Here is an 18,158-nt window from a genome sequence, read left to right on the forward strand (position 1 = left end):
AAATAATTATTTAAAAAATTATAATAAAAATAATTAAAAAATTATTTTCCCTGATTAATCTTTTTTTTTGTCCTTCTGAGAGTTCAATTTGTCCCTTTTCTGCCTGGTCTCCTAGGTTTCCCTAAAATCCTGCTGAGAGGTTAGCACTGCCTGCCAAAGTCAGTTTGCAAAATCCCAGAGAAATCCAGCTTATTCCTGGGGGAACCGCCAAGACTGCCCAGCCCTGTGTGGGGTTCAGGCAAGTTTCTCACATGTGCCTTTTTGGCAAGAGGCCTCTGGCAACCCCATGAGTCCCCAAAGAGACTCAATTCTAAAAGTTGGTCTCCACCAGCTCTCTGTGGCTTAGGGGTTCAAGTTCAACTGTGAAAGCCCTGTTTTGTTTTGATTTTGCTTTGAGGGAGAGGAAACCGCCCTTCTGTTTGTTCAACTCCTTCTCCTAAGGGGAGAAATCAATATTTACGTCCAGACTCCAGGTATCCGTACAATTGATTTTTCAGATGTTTATACTCAGCCAAAGGCGGGATCCCACAAAACAAAAAATATTTTTTTGGCTGTACTTTTGTGAAGATTTTATTTAAATTCCTGATTGATCAGTGTCTATTAGGTGATTTGGAATAACAATGTAAAAACAATATACAACGAAAGGAAGCTAAAAATCTATACACAATTCCTAGAAAGGAAAAGGCAAATATAGAAAGTGGCGGAAGTTCCCAACATTTTTAGTGTTTTCCTTTTGAGGCAGAGAGGACAATGGCATTAGGCTATTGGAGGATCTTGAAAGGCTGTTGTTATCCTTCTGTGGACAACAACAGCAAAATGTTAACAGTTAAACATCGAGAAATTTCAGGAGGATCTTTCAGAAGATGCGTTTCCAATTTTGAGGGGGCGTCAGCTCTTCACCGGAGACCCAAATACAACAAATCAAGTCGCCTGCCCTGGCGACACTTTCGAAGGACTGGAGTGGGAATCAGAGCTTCACGGGTTAAAAAGCCGATGTCACATCGGCCGTTCGAAACTCCTCCTCTTGCAGTGAGGTGAAGACATTTGAAAATCACCCCACTGCAAACTCCTCCCCCTGCTAGAAACCTCACATTGAAATGCTGTAAATGACGTGGGCCCCGAGTGCAATCGCGGGAAGCCAGGGTTTCCAGCTAGGACACAGCAGGTCGTGATCCGGGTCGGGACACTGCCTGGCAGAGGCTGCGAGCATGGGGCCCTGGGGCTGGAAATTGCGCTGGACCGTCGCCTTGCTCCTCGCCGCGGCGGGGACTGCAGGTAAGGCTTGCTCCAGGCGCCAGAATAGGTTGAGAGGGAGCCCCCGGGGGGCCCTTGGGAATTTATTTTTTTGGGTACAAATAATCACTCCATCCCTGGGAGACTTGTGGGGTAATGGCACGGGGTCCTTCCCAAACGGCTGGAGGGGGCGCTGGAGGGGGGCGCTGAGGGGAGCGCGAGGGTCGGGAGGAGTCTGAGGGATTTAAGGGAAACGGGGCACCGCTGTCCCCCAAGTCTCCACAGGGTGAGGGACCGCATCTTCTTTGAGACGGAGTCTAGCTCTGTCGCCCAGGATGGAGTGCAGTGGCACGATCTCAGCTCACTGCAACCTCCGCCTCCCGGGTTTAAGCGAGTCTCCTCTCTCAGCCTCCCGAATAGCTGGGATTACAGGCGCCCAACCACCACGCCCGCCTAATTTTTGTATTTTTAGTAGAGACGGGTTTTCACCATTTTGGCCAGGCTGGTCTCGAACCCCGACCTCAGGTGATCTGCCCAAAAGTGCTGGGATTACAGGCGTCAGCCACCGCGCCCGGCCGGGACCCTCTCTTCTAACTCGGAGCTGGGTGTGGGGACCTCCAGTCCTAAAACAAGGGATCACTCCCACCCCCGCCTTAAGTCCTTCTGGGGGCGAGGGCGACTGGAGACCCGGATGTCCAGCCTGGAGGTCACCGCGGGCTCAGGGGTCCCGATCCGCTTTGCGCGACCCCAGGGCGCCACTGCCATCCTGAGTTGGGTGCAGTCCCGGGATTCCGCCGCGTGCTCCGGGACGGGGGCCACCCCCTCCCGCCCCTGCCCCCGCCCCTTTGGCCCGCCCCCCGAATTCCATTGGGTGTAGTCCAACAGGCCACCCTCGAGCCACTCCCCTTGTCCAATGTGAGGCGGTGGAGGCGGAGGCGGGCGTCGGGAGGACGGGGCTTGTGTACGAGCGGGGCGGGGCTGGCGCGGAAGTCTGAGCCTCACCTTGTCCGGGGCGAGGCGGATGCAGGGGAGGCCTGGCGTTCCTCCGCGGTTCCTGTCACAAAGGCGACGACAAGTCCCGGGTCCCCGGAGCCGCCTCCGCGACATACACGAGTCGCCCTCCGTTATCCTGGGCCCTCCTGGCGAAGTCCCCGGTTTCCGCTGTGCTCTGTGGCGACACCTCCGTCCCCACCTTGTCCTGGGGGGCGCCCTCGCCCCACCAGCCCCGATCAAGTTCACAGAGGGGCCCCCGGCCACCCTCAAGGCCTCGGTTCCTTACGAGGTTGAAACGTTGCCTCAGAATCTCCCCGCCCCTCCTTGGTCTGCAGCCGAGATCTTCAGCCACGGTGGGGCAGCTATCCCCCGGGACCGACCCCCTGGGGTGGCCTCGCTTCTTCAGAGGCTGTGAATGGCTTCGGTTCAGCTGTCCAAGCGGCGATTTTTCCTCTGGGTGAAATGGATTAGATTTTAGATTTCCACAAGAGGCTGGTTAGTGCATGATCCTGAGTTAGAGCTTTTTAGGTGGCTTTAAATTAGTTGCAGAGAGACAGCCTCGCCCTAGACAACAGCTACATGGCCCTTTCCCTCCTGAGAACCAGCCTAGCCTAGAAAAGGATTGGGATTGCCTGATGAACACAAGGATTGCAGGAAACTTTTTTTTTAATTGGCAAGGGGGTTGGCTTTGACTGGATGGAGAGCTTTGAACTGCCTTGAAATTCACGCTGTAACTAACACACCAGTTTCCTCTGGGAGGCCAGAGAGGGAGGGAGGGTGTAATGAAATACGGATGATTGTTCTTTTATTTTTATTTACTTATTTATTTTTTAACTTTTTGTAGAGATGAGGTCTCGCTTGGTTGCTCAGGCTGGTCTTGAACTCCTGGCCTCAAGCGATCCTCCTACCTCAGCCTCCCAAAGTGTTGGGATTACAGGAGTGAGCCACCGCGCCCCACCGGGGATGATGATGATTGCAAACATTCTGCCACTCAGTTTTACAAAAGAAAGAGAGGCACTGGATTAATGTGTATCTCACTCACCAATCAACCTCTTCCTTAAGAGAAAATGTTAAGGAAGTCTTAGGCAAGGCCTTGTTTGTTCATCACTTTAGTTTCTCTCTCCCGGGATGGCTGAGAATGTGATGTTTCCTCTGTTGTCAAGGAGACTACACCCCTGATGTTTTCCTCCAGACTTCTGAGAGCTGGTGTGTGTTTCTAGCACTTTCTAGCTGCACCACCTCACGCTGTAGCTGGCTTCAAGGCATATCCAGGGGGGAGTTTCTTGTCCATTTCCTTTACAAAGGGAAGTTGTTGGAATCTGAACCGCAAGCCTTCACTTAGACCAAAATCAGGCAACAGCGGTGAGCGCAGCTCCAAACGTGTCAATGACTCACCCAAATTTGAGTAAGGGAGTTGGCTGCTTTAACGAGCCGCAGGGTGATTCCCTTGTCATTTCCGGAAATACCTATCTTCCAGGGAACACTGGGAAAAAACAGGGAGACCTTTGTTGAGACAGAAAACCTGTAGGGGAATTCTGTTCCTCATTCCTGCTCTTATCTGTAGACTTCCTCCCTGATAAGATCCAATTCTAGATGGGTCGGTTGCTCCTTGCTTTGATGGGTGCTTTGATGGGCTTTATTATTATTATTATTATTATTATTATTATTTTGATGGGCTTTTTGATGTCCCTTTTCCTTCCACACTCTGTCCCAACTGTCAAGCAAATAGCCTTTTGTTGCTAAGAGACTGCAGATGTAACCGACCAGCAGCAAACAGTGAGTCAGGCTCTCTCTTCCGGAAGCAAAATCAATTGCTGAGATCACTCTGGGGAAAATACCCACCTTATTTGGAAAGAAGCACTGATCAATTGATGTCTATTTTTTTTTTTTTTGAGTTGGAGTCTCGCCCTGTCACCCAGGCTGGAGTGCAATGGCATAATCTCGCCTCACTGCAATCCCCGCCTCCCGGGTTCCAGCAATTCTCCTGCCTCAGCCTCCTGAGTAGCTGGAATTATAGGCGCCTGCCACAACACCCGGCTAATTTTTGTATTTGTAGTAGAGATGGGGTTTCACCACGTTGGCCAGGCTGGTCTCGAACTCCTGACCTCGTGATCCACCCGCCTCAGCCTCCCAAAGTCCAAGGATTGCAGGCGTGACCCACTGTGCCAGCCAATCAATTGATTTCTCATTCATTTTCAGCTGGCTCTGTTCCCTTAAGCCAGGGGATTTTCGTTTGTTTGTTTCCCCTTCAAGGAAATGATTCTAGCTACAGTTTTGATTTCCTTGTACAACTGTTTTCAGTAGCACAGGGAAAGAAAACATCGAAAGCATTCACCACCTCATTTGTGTGCTGGGGGAAAAAGCAGAAATGTGTATTCTCTTTTTTTGTTTCGATGACCTTGTTCCTGACTTGTTACTCGTGACTTGAGAGATCAGAGGGCTAGAGGACTAGAATTTATAGAGGTGTTTTTTTTGTTTGTTTATTTTTGTTCGAGTTGCCCAGGCTGGAGTGCAGTGGCGCAATCTCGGCTCACTGCAACCTCTGCCTCCCAGGTTCAAGCGATTCTTCGGCCTCAGCCTCCTGAGTAGCTGGAACTACAGGCGCCCGCCACCACACCCAGCTAATTTTTGTATTTTTCAGTAGAGATGGGATTTCACCATATTGGTCAAGCTGGCCTCGAACTCCTGACCTCGTGATCCACCCGCCTCAGTTTCCCAAAGTGCTGGGAGTACAGGCGTGAGCCGCCGTGCCCGGCCTTTTTGTGTTTTTGTGTTTTTGAGAGGAGCTCATTGCTTTTTAGGCTTCCCTAGCGTGAGAAAATCTGGGGATCCATGCTCTAGTTTACTTCCTTTTTTTTTTTTTTTTTGAGATGGAGTCTCGCTTAGATTGCCTAATCTCAGCTCATTGCAACTTCTGCCTCCGGGGTTCAAGGGATTCTCGTGTCTCAGCCTCCTGGGTAGCTAGGATACGGGCACCCGCTACCATGCCTGGCTAATTTTGTACTTTTAGTAGAGACAGGGTTTCGCCACGTTGGCCAGGCTGGTCTCGAACTCCTGACCTCAGGTGAGCCGCCTGCCTTGGCCTCCCAAAGTGCTGAGATTACAGGCGTGAGCCACCGCGCTTGGCCTAATTTGCTTTTCCTGAAATTCAAATGGTCTAATATGAAAAACGCCAACCTTGCTTGAAAGAATAAGAAAGAGGTGCGGTTTCGTTGGGCCGTTGATGTTTGGAACAGGACTGGTTTTGTCCCCTTGCTCGGAAAGGGCAGCAACTGTGAGGACAGCTCCCTGACGTGCTCTCACTCAGCACTGTTCCGTTCCTGAGCACTGTCCCCACTAGCTAGGCCAAGGGAGCTCATTTGGCAGGCAACTGCTGTCTGGCTGCGCCTGTGGCAGTAAAATCTGCCTTTATTTTTTGGAGGCAGGGTCTTGCCCTGTCGCTCAGGCTGAAGTGTGCAGTTATAGCTCACTGCAGCCTCCAGCTTCTGTACTCAACTGATCCTCCTCTCTCAGCCTCCTGAGTAGCTGGGACTATACGCACGTGTTACCACTCCCACCTCAGTTTGTTTGTTTATTTATTTATTTATTTATTTATTGAGATGGAGTTTTGCTCTTGCTGCCCAGGCTGGAGTGCAATGGCGCGATCTCGGCTCACCGCAACCTCCACCTCCTGGTTCAAGCGATTCTCCTGCCTCAGCCTCCTGAGTAGCTGGGATTACAGGCATGCACCACCACGCCCGGCTAATTTTGTATTTTTCGTAGAGATGGGGTTTCTCCACATTGGTTCAGGCTGTTCTCGAACTCCCAACCTCAGGTGATCCACCCGCCTCAGCCTCCCAAAGTGCTGGGATTATAGGCGTGAGCCCCCGAACCCGGCCACTCCCAGCTAAGTTTAAATTTTTTGTTTGTTTGTTCGTTTGTTTTTATTTTTTGAGACAGAGTCTCCCGCCCAGGCTGGAGCGCAGATCACTGCATCCTTGACCTCCCAGGCTTAAGCCATCCTCCCCACTCAGCCTCCCAAGTAGCTGGGATTACAGGTGTGTGCCACTATGCTTGGCTAAGTTGTGTATTTTTTGTAGAGATGGGGTTCAAGGGATTCTCGCTTTGTTGCCTCGGTTGGTCTCAAACTCCTGGGCTCAAGCAGTCCTCCCTCCTCAGCCTCCCAAGGTGCTGGGGAAATCCACTTTTGAAACATTGTCTGGAGAGTTGCCCAGGTGGTAGATCACAGAAATAGGTCATCGTGGGGTCCTTCCCATGGGTGCAGTCTTGAGCCACCTGTGGCCAGCAAATATTTGGAGAATAATAGTCAGGGGAGAGCTTGAGGTCCAGGGAAAGGTTTTGTTTTTCTTCAGGGAAAGGTTTTTATTGTTCTTTATCCCTCCTTAAAGGACCTTCAGGTGTTACTGACATTCCCGGTCTACCCAGTGGCACATTTAGTTTGTAAGCTGGGCCCTCGTACAGAGGTAGGGAGGTGAGAGCATTGGATTAGTGGTCACCAAAGCTGCGGTCACCTAGTGGGGTGATCAGAGGCTCCTCCCTTAAGATCTTGATTGCCAACGCCTCTGGCCCAACTTTCCTTTTTATTTATCGCAAGCCTCCTGGAATCTCAATTGCTTTTTGCCCACCCGGTGTGTCAGCACAAGAAATGAGTCATTTCCTCCTTTAAGCACAGTTGAAATTGAGCTGTGAGTCAGTGAGGTGTGTACGATATTGTCAAAGCGGGGTGTGTACAGTATTGACAGATCTGTAGTTGGGCAAGAGAATTATCAGAGTTTGTGACCACAGCAGATTCCAAAGCTCGACTCATTTTCTTCTCTCTTCCTTCCCTTTTTTCTTTTCTTTTTTTTTTTTTTTTTGACAGAGTCTCGCTCTGTTGCCCAGGCTGGAGTGCAGTGGCACAATCTGGGCTCACTGCAGCCCCTGCCTCCTGGGTTCAAATGATTCTCATGTTTCAGCCTCCCGAGTAGCTGCAATTACAGGCATTCGGGTTCAAGTGATTCTCCTGCCTCAGCCACCTGAGCAGCTGGGATTACAGGCGCCCGCCACCACGCCCGGCTAATTTTTGTATTTTTAGTAGAGACGGGGTTTCACCATGTTGGCCAGGCTGGTCTCGAACTCCTGAACTCAGGTGATCCGCCCACTTCGGCCTCCCAAAGTGCTGAGATTACAGACGTGAGTCACCGCGCCCAGCCTGTTCTGTTCTTTAATTCTCAAAACACCCTCTAGGAAGTAGAGACTGCCATTCTCCCCCATTTTACAGATCAGGAAACTGAGTCCCAGAAGGATTTAGTCAGTTACCCAAGTTGTTCTAGTTAAATGGCCTGGAAAGCCAGTGAAGCCCAGGATTGTCTATCTAACCCCCTTACTACTCTAACTTTCAGGGAATCCACATGAATGTGCTGGGTCAACCATCAAAGTTGAAATGGATAAAGGGGGCTGGATGCGGTGGCTGATGCCTGTAATCCTAGCACTTTGGGAGGCCGAGATGGGTGGGTGGATTGCTTGAGCCCAAGAGTTTGAGACCAGCCTGGGCAACATAGTGAGACACCTGTCTCTGCAAAAAATAAATAAAAAGTTAGCTGAGTGTGATGGTGCACCCCTCTAGTCACAGCTGTTGAGTTAGGCTTAGGCAGGAGGATCGCATGAACCTGGGAGGTGGAGGCGGCCGTGAGCCTCAGTCATGCCACTGCACTCCAACCTGGGCAACAGAGTGAAAGCCGGTGTCCGAAAGAGAAAGAAAAAAAGACATAGATACATCTTTTAAAGTTAGGTTGTATGTTAATTACCTACAACTCAGTTTCAACTGTGCTTAAAGGAGGAAATGACTCATTTCTTGCTACATATCAAATTAGCCCAAAATGTAGTGGCTTAAAACAACACATTTATGATTTCTCAGTTTTTGCGTGTCAGGAATTTGGAAGCAGCACAGCTAGACGGTTCCAGCTCAGGGTCTCTCATGAAGTTGCAATCAAAATATTGGCAGGAGAGAAAAACATATTTTCAGAAGCTGCAGGCATAGGAAGACTTGGCTGGGGTTGAAGGATCCACTTCCAAGATGGCGCACTCAGTGGCTCTTGGCTGGAGGCCTCAGTTCCCTGCTGCGTGGAGCTCTCCCTCCAGCTGCTTGAGTGGACTCATGACATGCAGCTGGCCTCCCCTGGAGCAGTCGATCCAACAATGAGCATGGCCATGAACTAGGCTCAGAAGCCACTCCCTGTCGTCTCTACATTTTCCTATCAGAAGCAAGTCATTAAAAGTCCAGTGCCACTCCAGGGGAGACGAATTAGGCTCTGCCTTCTGAAAGGATTATCACAGAAGATGCGGTCCTATATTCTTTTTTTAAAATTATTCTTTTTTTTATTTTGTAGAGATGGGGTCTTGGTATGTTGCCTAGGCCAGTCTGGAATTCCTGGGCTCAAACAATCCTGTCTCTGCCTCCCAAAGTGTTGGGATTACAGGCATGAGCCACTGCACCTGGTCATGTGGTCATATTTTCTTTTTCTTTTTTTTTTTTTTTTGAGACAGAGTCTCTGTCGCCCAGGCTGGAGTATGGTGGCGTGATCTCAGTTCACTGCAGCCTCCGCCTCCCGGGTTCAAGCGATTCTCCTGCCTCAGCCTCCTGAGTAGCTGGGATTACAGGCGCCCGCCAACATGCCCAGCTAATTTTTTTAGTAGAGATGGGGTTTCACCATGTTAGCCAGGATGGTCTCGATCTCCTGATTTGGTGATCCGCCCACCTTGGCCTCCCAAAGTTTCAACCATCGATCAGAACTTATTGATGTACTTATGTAGCTAGGCACGGTGGCGCGTGCCTGTAATCCCAGCTACTTGGAAGGGTTAAGGCAGGAGAATCGCTTGAACCTGGGAGGCAGAGGTTACAGTGAGTCAAGATCATACCATTGCACTCCAGTCTGGGCAACAGAATGAGACTCTGTCTCAAAAACAAAAAACAAACCCTTGTATGTGATTTTCCTGGATAGCATCTGTTACATCTTCACAAAGATAAAAAGTCAGACTTGGCTGGGCATGGTGGCTCACACCTGTAATCCCAGCACTGAGAGGCTGAGGCAGGCAGATCACTTGAGGTCAGGAATTTGAGACCAGGCTGGGCAGCATGGTGAAACCCCGTCTCTACAAAAAATACAAAAATTAGCCGGGTGTGGTGTCACGCACCTGTATTCCCAAGCTACTCAGGAAGCTAAGGCAGGAGAATCACTTGAACCCAGAGGTGGAGGTTTGCAGTGAGTTGAGATTGTGCCATTGCACTCCAGCCTGGGCGACAGAGTGAGACTCTGTGTCAAAAATAAAATAAAATAAAATTTTAAAAAAGGCAGATTTTTTTTTCTTCTTGGTATTGTTACCTTATTATAGTAATAATAAGTGCATAGTGCATGCTGAGATAAGCAATCATAATTTGTTATTGCGGCCGGGCATGGTGGCTCCAGCCTATAATCCCAGCACTTTGGTCAGGAGTTCAAGGCCAGCCTGGCCAATATAGTGAAACTCCATCTCTACTAAAATACAAGAAATTACCTGGGCATGGTGGCAGTTGCTGGTGATCCCCAGCTACTTGGGAGGCTGAGGCAGGAGAATCGCTTGAACCTGGGAAGCAGAGGTTGCAGTGAGCCAAGATTGCACCACTGCACTCCAGCCTGGGTGACAGAGTGAGACTCTGTCTGAAAATAATAATAATAATAATTTGTTATTGCTTTTATTGCCTTAGTTTACATAGGGAATCAAAGTTTATACTTTGATTTATAAAAGTTGCTTTGATTCTAGTTCACAGAACCAGAATCTTTCATATAAAGGTATTAGAGGGCCCAGTGTGGTGGCTCATGCCTGTAATCCCAGCATATTGGGAGGCTGAGGAGGGAGGATCACTTTAGGAGTTTGAGGCCAGCCTAGGCAACATAGTGAGACCTTGTCTCTACAAAAAATTCCAACATTAGCTGGGCATGGTGGCATGTGCCTGTAGTCCCATTTATTTGGGGGGCTGAGGCAGGAGGATCACTTGAGCCCACGAGGTTCAATCCAGGTTGCAGTAAGCCATGATCCTGCCACTGCACTCCAGTTTGGGTAACAGAGCGAAGCTATGTCTCAAAAAAAGAAAAAAAAAGTATTCTAAATCCAAATTTAATATATAAAACTAAATGCAGGCCAAGTGTGGTGGCATATACCTATAATCACAACACTTTGGGAGGCTGAGGTGGGAGGATTGCTTGAGCCCAAGAGTTCAAGACCAGCCTAGGTAACACAGTAAGACCCCATCTCTACAAAAAGTAGAAAAATTAGCCTGGCATGGTGGTGAGTGCTTTTAATCCCAACTACTTAGGGGGCTGAGATGGGAAGATTGCTTGAGCCTCAGAGTTTGAGGCTGCAGTGGGCCGTGATCGCTCCACTGATCGCTCTAAAGTGAGACCCTGTCTCAAAAAAAAAGAAAATAGAAGAAAACTAAATACATTCAATAAGACTTTGATCTCTTTTCCAAGGTGTAAATATATTTTGGGAAATTTTCCAGTTACTTTGTTCTCATTTTAATGTAATAATCTAAGTCTTGGTTTTCTAAGGAAAAGTTTTCTCTTATTATATCTTTTGTTAATGTTTCTCTCCCATTTCTTTTGATCTGATCTTCAGATACATGATTATCTTCACTGCTAAATTTGTGTTCTCTGGCCTCTACATTTATAATTTCTCATAATTCTTTATCTAAGTATTTCTTCCCTACCTACTGAAGAAAACTCAAGTTTTCTTCCACCTTAATGATTATGCTGTGTCTGTGAGTTTTCTTCATGACTCTTTACAGTACAAGTTTTTTGTTTTTGTTTTTTTAATGGTCAGATGGATAGAACAACACAGGTTTTGTTTGTTTTGTTTTAACTTTTAAAAAAATTATAATAGATAAAGGGTCTCACTACGTTGTCCAGGCTGATCTCATACTCCTGGGCTCAAGCAATCCACCCACCTCTGCCTCCCAAAGTGCTGGGATTACAGTCATGAGCCAACATGCCTGGGCAGTACAGGTTTTTTTTGAGACGGAGTTTTGTTCTTGTTGCCGAGGCTGGAGTGCAATGGCACAATCTTGGCTCACCACAAAGTCTGCCTCCCAGGTTCAAGTGATTCTCCTGCCTCAGCCTCCTGAGTAGCTGGGATTACAGGCATGTGCCACCACGCCCAGCTAATTTTGTATTTTTAGTAGAGACGGGGTTTCACCATGTTGGCCAGGCTGGTTTCGAACTGCTGACCTCAGGTGATCTGCCCACCTCGGCCTCCCAAAGTGCTGGGATTACAGGCATGAGCCACCATGCCCAGCTGTAGTACAGGTTTTAATATGCTAAATACTCTTCCTTTCTTTATTAATGTGCATGGAAGTTCTAATATTTTTTTCCCATACCCCAGAGAGTCCATATTTTGGAATCAACAACACTAGCCTTTGTTGACAAGTGTCTCTCTTGGGTTCCTTCTTTGTGTCCTCCACTGAATTTTGGGGTTCATAAAATTTCATTTGTTGTGCTTGCTTAATTCCCTGGGAATCAGACTGTTCCTGATCGGATGACATTTCTGGTTAATTCTTTAGTTGGCAGGAAATAGACACAGGAAACGTGGTCAGTTTCTGATTCTGGCGTTGAGAGACCCTTTCTCCTTTTCCTCTCTCTCAGTGGGCGACAGATGCGAAAGAAACGAGTTCCAGTGCCAAGACGGGAAATGCATCTCCTACAAGTGGGTCTGCGATGGCAGCGCTGAGTGCCAGGATGGCTCTGATGAGTCCCAGGAGACGTGCTGTGAGTCCCCTTTGGGCATGATATGCATTTATTTTTGTAATAGAGACAGGGTCTCGCCATGTTGGCCAGGCTGGTCTTGAATTTCTGGTCTCAAGTGATCCGCTGGCCTCGGCCTCCCAAAGTGCTGGGATTACAGGCACCACGCCTGGCCTGTGACACGATTCTTAACCCCTTTTTGATGATGGCGGCTGGAAAAGTGGCCAGTGGATTTTGATGTATTCAATCATGAATTAGGAGGTGGGGAGAGAATGAATTATTGGAGCTTTCCTTAAAGCCATTAAATGGCTCTATTGTTTTTTCAATTGATGTGAATTTCACATAACATGAAATTAACCAGCTCAGTGGCATTAATACATCTGCAATGCTGTGTGGCCACCACCTCTATCTTGTTCCAAAACTTTGCATAACCTAATGTCTTTTTTTTTTTTTTTTTTTGAGACGGAGTCTCGTTCCATCACCCAGGCTGGAGTGCAGTGGTGTGATCTCAGCTCACTGCAACCTCCGCCTCCCAGGTTCACGCCATCCTCCTGCCTCAGCCTCCCGAGTAGCTGGGACTACAGGCACCCTCCACCACATCCGGCTAATTTTTTGTATCTTTAGTAGAGATGGGGTTTCACCATGTTAGCCGGGATGGTCTCGATCTCCTGACCTCGTGATCCACCTGCCTCCGCCTCCCAAAGTGCTGGCATTACAGGCGTGAGCCACCATGCCCGGCCTATTTTTTTTTTTAAGAGATGGAGTCTAATTCTGTTGCCCAGGCTGGAGTCCAGTGGTACCATCATACTTCACTGCAGCCTTGACCTCTTGGGCTCAAGTGATTCTCTTGCCTCGAACTCCCAAAGTATTGGGATTACAGGTGTGAGCCACCGCACTCAGCCTAATGTCCAGTTTTTAACAAGCTCCATTTAAATGCCCTCCGTTTTGACCCATAAAGGGGTAGGCTTGGCCGGGCACAATGGCTTGTGTCTGTAGTCCCAGCTACTTGGGAGGCTGAGGCAGAAAGGCAGAAAGATTGCTTTATAAAGCCCAGGAGTTTGAGGGCCACCTGGGTGGCATAGCTAGACCTCATCTCTAAAAAATAAGTAATAAATAAATATTTGTTTTTGTTTTTTTCTTTTTCTTTTCTTTTTTTTTTTTTTTTGAGACGGAGTCTTGCTCTGTTGCCCAGGCTGGAGTGCAGTGGCGCGATCTCAGCTCACTGCAAGCTGTGCCTCCTGGGTTCATGCCATTCTCCTGCCTCAGCCTCCCGAGTAGCTGGGACTACAGGCGCCCACTACCACGCCCAGCTAATTTTTTGTATTTTTAGTAGAGATGGGGTTTCACCACGTTAGCCAGGATGGTCTCAATCTCCTGACCTCGTGATCCGCCAGCTTTGGCCTCCCAAAGTGTTGGGATTACAGGCGTGAGCCACTGAGCCCGCCCCATATGTATGTATATATATATTTTTTTAAAATGGGAGACCAGGCATGGTGGCTCATGCCTAGAATCCCAGCACTTTGGGAAGCTGAGGTAGGCGGATCACTTGAGGCCATGAGTTTGAGACCAGCCTGCTCAACATGATGAAACTTCTATCTCTACTAAAAAAAAAAGTGGGATTAGGTCAGGCACGGTGGCTCACACCTGTAATCCCAGCACTTTCAGAGGCCGAGGCAGGAGGATCATGAGGTCAGGAGATCGAGACCATCCTGGCTAACACGGTGAAACCCCGTCTCTACTAAAAAAATACAAAAAATTAGCCAGGCGTGGTGGCGGGTGCCTGTAGTCCCAGCTACTCAGGAGGCTGAGGCAGGAGAATGGCGTGAACCCGGGAGGCGGAGCTTGCAGTGAGCCAAGATCGTGCCACTGTACTCCAGCCTGGGCGACAGAGCAAGACTCTGTCTCAAAAAAAAAAAAAAAAGTGGGATTGACATTCTCTTCAAAGTTCTGGGGTTTTCCTTTGCAAAGACAGGATTGGCAAGGCCAGTGGGTCTTTTTTGTGTGTGTGTGTGTGACGGAGTCTCACTCTGCCACCCAGGCTGGAGTGCAATGGCAGGATCTCGGCTCACCGCAACCTCCTCCTCCCAGGTTAAAGTGATTCTCCTGCCTCAGCCTCCCGAGTAGCTGGGACTACAGGTGCCCGCCACCACACCCAACTAATTTTTGTATTTTTAGTAGAGACAGGGTTTCACTATATTGGCCAGGCTGGTCTTGAACCCCTGACCTCACGTGATCCACCCGCCTTGGCCTCCCAAAGTGCTGGGATTACAGGCGTGAGCCACTGTGCTCGGCCTCAGTGGGTCTTTCCTTTGAGTGACAGTTCAATCCTGTCTCTTCTGTAGTGTCTGTCACCTGCAAATCCGGGGACTTCAGCTGTGGGGGCCGTGTCAACCGCTGCATTCCTCAGTTCTGGAGGTGCGATGGCCAAGTGGACTGCGACAACGGCTCAGACGAGCAAGGCTGTCGTAAGTGTGGCCCTGCCTTTGCTATTGAGCCTATCTGAGTCCTGGGGAGTGGTCTGACTTTGTCTCTACGGGGTCCTGCTCGAGCTGCAAGGCAGCTGCCCCGAACTGGGCTCCATCTCTTGGGGGCTCATACCAAGCCTCTTCCGCCCTTCAAATCCCCCCTTGACCAGGAGGCATTACAAAGTGGGGATGGTGCTACCTCTTCGGGTTTGTCACGCACAGTCAGGGAGGCTGTCCCTGCCGAGGGCTAGCCACCTGGCACACACACTGGCAAGCCGCTGTGATTCCCGCTGGTCGTGATCCCCGTGATCCTGTGATCCCCGCCCCGTGAGGCTGAACACATAGTGACGCTTGCTAGCCAAGCCTCAATGACCCACGTAACATGAAGGGGGAAAAGCCAGAAAGTTCTGCCAAGGAGCAAGGCCAAGAATCCCGAAGGGAAATGGACTTTGAAGCTGGGCGTCTTCTTGGCTGTCTTAATACAAGTGGCACATCCAAATCCAAAACCCCGAAATTCAAAGTCTTGAGCACCCGAAATTCTGAAACGTCTTGAGCACTGACCTTTAGAAGGAAATGCTTATTGGAGCATTTTGGATTTCGGATTTTTACCACTGAGTGTGGAGTCCTAATTAGGAAAAAAACCAGGCTGACCGAACCAAAGGAAAGCAATAAAAGAAGGCAGATAGGGTCAGGCACGGTGGCTCACCCCTGTAATCCCAGCCTTTTGAGAGGCTGAGGCGGGTGGATCACTTGAGGTCAGGAGTTCGAGAGCAGCCTGGCCAACACGGTGAAACCCCATCTCTACTGAAAATACAAAAACTAGCCAGGTATGGTGGCGTCTGCCTGTAATCCCAGCTACTCGGGAGGCTGAGACAGGAGAATCACTTGAACCTGGGAGGCAGAGGTTGCAGTGAGCCAATATCACGCCATTGCACTCCAGCCTGGGGGACAAGAGCGAAATTCTGTCTCAAAAAAAAAGAAGAAGAAGGCCGACAAACTATGTAACTCTGCCTTTCTCCATGGTCCAGAACACACAGCCCTCCTGCGTAAATAACTCCTTATCTTCCTGCTCCCAGCTATCATCAGACACCTCGGCTGATAGAAAATTGCAAGTTAGCTCACTGCAACCTCGGCATTATAAGTACTGCACAAAGCCCTCTTCAGCGCACAGCACAAGCACCATTCTATAAAATCTCCAGCAAGCGGCCAGGTGCAGTGGCTCATACCTGTAATCCCAGCATTTTGGGAGACTGAGGCGGGCGGATCACCTGAGGTCAGGAGTTTGAGACCAGCCTGGCCAACATGGTGAAACCCCGTCTCTATTAAAAATACAAAAAAATTAGCCAGGCGTGGTGGCAGGTGCCTGTAATCCCAGCTACTTGGAAGGCTGAGGCAGGAGAATCGCTTGAACCCGGGAGGTGGAAGTTGCAGTGAGCCGAGATCTTGCCATCGCACTCCAGCCTGGGGGACAAGAGTGAGACTTCGTCTCAAAAAAAAAAAAAAAAATTCCCAGCAAGCCTTTGTCTTCTGGCAGTCAGCTCCTCTCTTGCTGACCTGCTCATTGCTTTCTTGCAAGGTATTTTCCTACCTACTTTCTGGAATAAATCTGTCTTTCTGTACTTACAACTACCTTTTTTAAAATTTCTTTCTTTTTTGAGATGGAGTCTCACTCTGTTTGCCCAGGCTGGAGTTCAGTGGTGCAATCTCAGCTCACTGCAACCTCTACCTACTGGGTTCAAGCGATTCTCCTGCCTCAGCTTCCCGAGTAGCTGGGATTACAGGCGTGCACCAGCACGCAGGCTAATTTTTGTATTTTTAGTAGAGACGGGGTTTCACCATGTTGGCCAAGGTGGTCTTGAACTCCTGACCTCAAGTGATCCTCCCACCTCAGCCTCCCAAAGCGCTAGGATTACGGCCATGAGCCACTGAGGCCGGCTGCACCTACAACTGTCTTGATAAATTCTTACCCCCACACCACTGGTCCAGATAGTCAGTGCTCACCCACAACATTAAGGATATTCCAAATTTGAAACATTCCAAAATCAGAAAAATATTCCAACTCTGAAAATATTCCAAAATCCAAAAAAATTCAAAATCCAAAACACTTCTGGTCCCAAGCATTTTAGAGAAGGGATACTCAACCCAAAATAAGGACAGCAATTCTATAAATTGTGCTACCATCTTGCAGGTCTCAGTTTAACAGCTTTACACCTATTAGCGCACCAGTGCTCATAGCAGTGCTGGGAAATGTGTACAGATGAGGAAACTGAGGCACCGAGAGGGCAGTGGTTCAGAGTCCATGGCCCCTGACTGCTCCCCAGCCCGCCTTTCCAGGGGCCTGGCCTCACTGCGGCAGCGTCCCCGGCTATAGAATGGGCTGGTGTTGGGAGACTTCACACGGTGATGGTGGTCTCGGCCCATCCATCCCTGCAGCCCCCAAGACGTGCTCCCAGGACGAGTTTCGCTGCCACGATGGGAAGTGCATCTCTCGGCAGTTCGTCTGTGACTCAGACCGGGACTGCTTGGACGGCTCAGACGAGGCCTCCTGCCCGGTGCTCACCTGTGGTCCCGCCAGCTTCCAGTGCAACAGCTCCACCTGCATCCCCCAGCTGTGGGCCTGCGACAACGACCCCGACTGCGAAGATGGCTCGGATGAGTGGCCGCAGCGCTGTAGGGGTCTTTACGTGTTCCAAGGGGACAGTAGCCCCTGCTCGGCCTTCGAGTTCCACTGCCTAAGTGGCGAGTGCATCCACTCCAGCTGGCGCTGTGATGGTGGCCCCGACTGCAAGGACAAATCTGACGAGGAAAACTGCGGTATGGGCGGGGCCAGGGTGGGGGCGGGGCGTCCTATCACCTGTCCCTGGGCTCCCCCAGGTGTGGGACATGCAGTGATTTAGGTGCCGAAGTGGATTTCCAACAACATGCCAAGAAAGTATTCCCATTTCATGTTTGTTTCTTTTTTTTCTTTTCTTTCTTTATTTTGTTTTTGAGATGGAGTCTCACTCTGTGATTTTTTTCATCTCTAAATTTCCTACATCCATATGGCCACCATGAGGCCCCAGGCTGGCCGATGGTTGCTGTTAGCTTATTGGGAAATCACTGTTTGGAAGGTGCTGGTTGTTTTTTGTTGTTTGTTGTTTTTGTTTTTGTTTTTGTTTTGAGACGGAGTCTCGCTCTGTCGCCAGGGTGGAGTGCAGTGGCGCGATCAGCTCACTGCAACCTCCGCTTCCTGGGTTCAAGCCATTCTCCTGCCTCAGCCTCCCAAGTAGCGCGGATTACAGGCATGTGCCACCACCTCCGGCTATTTTTTTTTCTATTTAGTAGAGATGGGGTTTCACCATGTTAGTCAGGCTGGTCATGAACTCTTGACCTCAGGTGATCCACCCGCCTCGGCCTCCCAAAGTGCTGGGATTACAGGCGTGCACTGCTGCACCCAGCCTTTTTTTGTTTTTTTGAGACAGGGTCTTGCTGTCACCCAGGTTGAAGTAAGGTGGCACGATTATGGCTCACTGCGGCCTTGATCTCCTTGGCTCAAGCGATCCTCTCACTTCAGCCTCTCAAGCAGTTGGAACCACAGGCTGTACCACCAAGCCTGGCCAATTTTTTTGTACAGACACAGGCTGGTCTTGAACTCCTGGGCTCAAGCAATCCTCCTGCCTTGGCCTCCCAAAGTGCTGGGATTCCAGGCATGAGCCGCTGCACCCGGCAAAAG

The 18,158-nt window shown here is 49.4% G+C and overlaps 1 protein-coding gene and 1 long non-coding RNA gene across 9 annotated transcripts in view, besides 12 other annotated features; one reads left to right on the plus strand and one right to left on the minus strand.

The window, feature by feature from the left end:
• Nucleotides 728–1,319, minus strand: LDLR-AS1 (LDLR antisense RNA 1). Its single transcript, NR_163945.1, has one exon. It is a non-coding gene; the product is annotated as an LDLR antisense RNA 1 (long non-coding RNA).
• LDLR (low density lipoprotein receptor) overlaps nucleotides 1,123–18,158 on the plus strand; it is a 44,358-nt gene continuing 27,322 nt past the window's right edge. For 4 of the 8 annotated variants that reach the window (NM_000527.5, NM_001195798.2, XM_011528010.3 and 1 more), the window contains exons 1-4: nucleotides 1,123–1,275; nucleotides 11,883–12,005; nucleotides 14,324–14,446; nucleotides 16,880–17,260. In NM_000527.5, coding sequence (NP_000518.1) covers nucleotides 1,209–1,275; nucleotides 11,883–12,005; nucleotides 14,324–14,446; nucleotides 16,880–17,260 — 694 coding nt within the window. In that variant the 5' untranslated portion in view covers nucleotides 1,123–1,208. Of the gene's footprint in view, nucleotides 1,276–2,218; nucleotides 2,580–11,882; nucleotides 12,006–14,323; nucleotides 15,141–16,879; nucleotides 17,261–18,158 lie in introns of those variants that run through there. The other 4 variants (NM_001195803.2, NM_001195800.2, NM_001195799.2 and 1 more) reach the window with 3 other exon arrangements.
• Nucleotides 1,377–1,972: an enhancer, noted in NCBI's record as "NANOG-H3K27ac-H3K4me1 hESC enhancer chr19:11200393-11200988 (GRCh37/hg19 assembly coordinates)". NCBI's record gives its function as "activates a minimal SCP1, AML or CMV promoter by ChIP-STARR-seq in naive H9 embryonic stem cells {active_cell/tissue: H9 hESC(naive)}" and the evidence as "EXISTENCE:reporter gene assay evidence [ECO:0000049][PMID:30033119]".
• Nucleotides 1,954–2,213: a silencer, noted in NCBI's record as "silent region_10100". NCBI's record gives its function as "represses an Ori minimal core promoter by ATAC-STARR-seq in GM12878 lymphoblastoid cells {active_cell/tissue: GM12878}" and the evidence as "EXISTENCE:reporter gene assay evidence [ECO:0000049][PMID:35858748]".
• Nucleotides 1,954–2,566: a biological region, named in NCBI's record as "NANOG-H3K27ac-H3K4me1 hESC enhancer GRCh37_chr19:11200989-11201582".
• Nucleotides 1,973–2,566: an enhancer, noted in NCBI's record as "NANOG-H3K27ac-H3K4me1 hESC enhancer chr19:11200989-11201582 (GRCh37/hg19 assembly coordinates)". NCBI's record gives its function as "activates a minimal SCP1, AML or CMV promoter by ChIP-STARR-seq in primed H9 embryonic stem cells {active_cell/tissue: H9 hESC(primed)}" and the evidence as "EXISTENCE:reporter gene assay evidence [ECO:0000049][PMID:30033119]".
• Nucleotides 2,284–2,463: an enhancer, noted in NCBI's record as "active region_14006". NCBI's record gives its function as "activates an Ori minimal core promoter by ATAC-STARR-seq in GM12878 lymphoblastoid cells {active_cell/tissue: GM12878}" and the evidence as "EXISTENCE:reporter gene assay evidence [ECO:0000049][PMID:35858748]".
• Nucleotides 3,160–4,359: an enhancer, noted in NCBI's record as "BRD4-independent group 4 enhancer chr19:11202176-11203375 (GRCh37/hg19 assembly coordinates)". NCBI's record gives its function as "activates an origin of replication core promoter dependent on BRD2, P300/CBP, MED14 and CDK7 cofactors, and independent of BRD4, by STARR-seq in HCT116 cells {active_cell/tissue: HCT116}" and the evidence as "EXISTENCE:reporter gene assay evidence [ECO:0000049][PMID:35650434]".
• Nucleotides 3,160–4,734: a biological region, named in NCBI's record as "BRD4-independent group 4 enhancer GRCh37_chr19:11202176-11203375".
• Nucleotides 3,782–4,734: an enhancer, noted in NCBI's record as "H3K27ac-H3K4me1 hESC enhancer chr19:11202798-11203750 (GRCh37/hg19 assembly coordinates)". NCBI's record gives its function as "activates a minimal SCP1, AML or CMV promoter by ChIP-STARR-seq in primed H9 embryonic stem cells {active_cell/tissue: H9 hESC(primed)}" and the evidence as "EXISTENCE:reporter gene assay evidence [ECO:0000049][PMID:30033119]".
• Nucleotides 6,082–7,281: an enhancer, noted in NCBI's record as "P300/CBP strongly-dependent group 1 enhancer chr19:11205098-11206297 (GRCh37/hg19 assembly coordinates)". NCBI's record gives its function as "activates an origin of replication core promoter dependent on BRD2, BRD4, P300/CBP, MED14 and CDK7 cofactors, with strong dependence on P300/CBP, by STARR-seq in HCT116 cells {active_cell/tissue: HCT116}" and the evidence as "EXISTENCE:reporter gene assay evidence [ECO:0000049][PMID:35650434]".
• Nucleotides 6,647–6,776: an enhancer, noted in NCBI's record as "active region_14007". NCBI's record gives its function as "activates an Ori minimal core promoter by ATAC-STARR-seq in GM12878 lymphoblastoid cells {active_cell/tissue: GM12878}" and the evidence as "EXISTENCE:reporter gene assay evidence [ECO:0000049][PMID:35858748]".
• Nucleotides 13,866–14,504: an enhancer, noted in NCBI's record as "H3K27ac-H3K4me1 hESC enhancer chr19:11212882-11213520 (GRCh37/hg19 assembly coordinates)". NCBI's record gives its function as "activates a minimal SCP1, AML or CMV promoter by ChIP-STARR-seq in naive and primed H9 embryonic stem cells {active_cell/tissue: H9 hESC(naive and primed)}" and the evidence as "EXISTENCE:reporter gene assay evidence [ECO:0000049][PMID:30033119]".
• Nucleotides 16,544–17,044: an enhancer, noted in NCBI's record as "H3K4me1 hESC enhancer chr19:11215560-11216060 (GRCh37/hg19 assembly coordinates)". NCBI's record gives its function as "activates a minimal SCP1, AML or CMV promoter by ChIP-STARR-seq in naive H9 embryonic stem cells {active_cell/tissue: H9 hESC(naive)}" and the evidence as "EXISTENCE:reporter gene assay evidence [ECO:0000049][PMID:30033119]".

The sequence above is a fragment of the Homo sapiens genome, chromosome 19 (genome assembly GCF_000001405.40).
Source record: "Homo sapiens chromosome 19, GRCh38.p14 Primary Assembly".
NCBI lineage: Eukaryota > Metazoa > Chordata > Mammalia > Primates > Hominidae > Homo > Homo sapiens.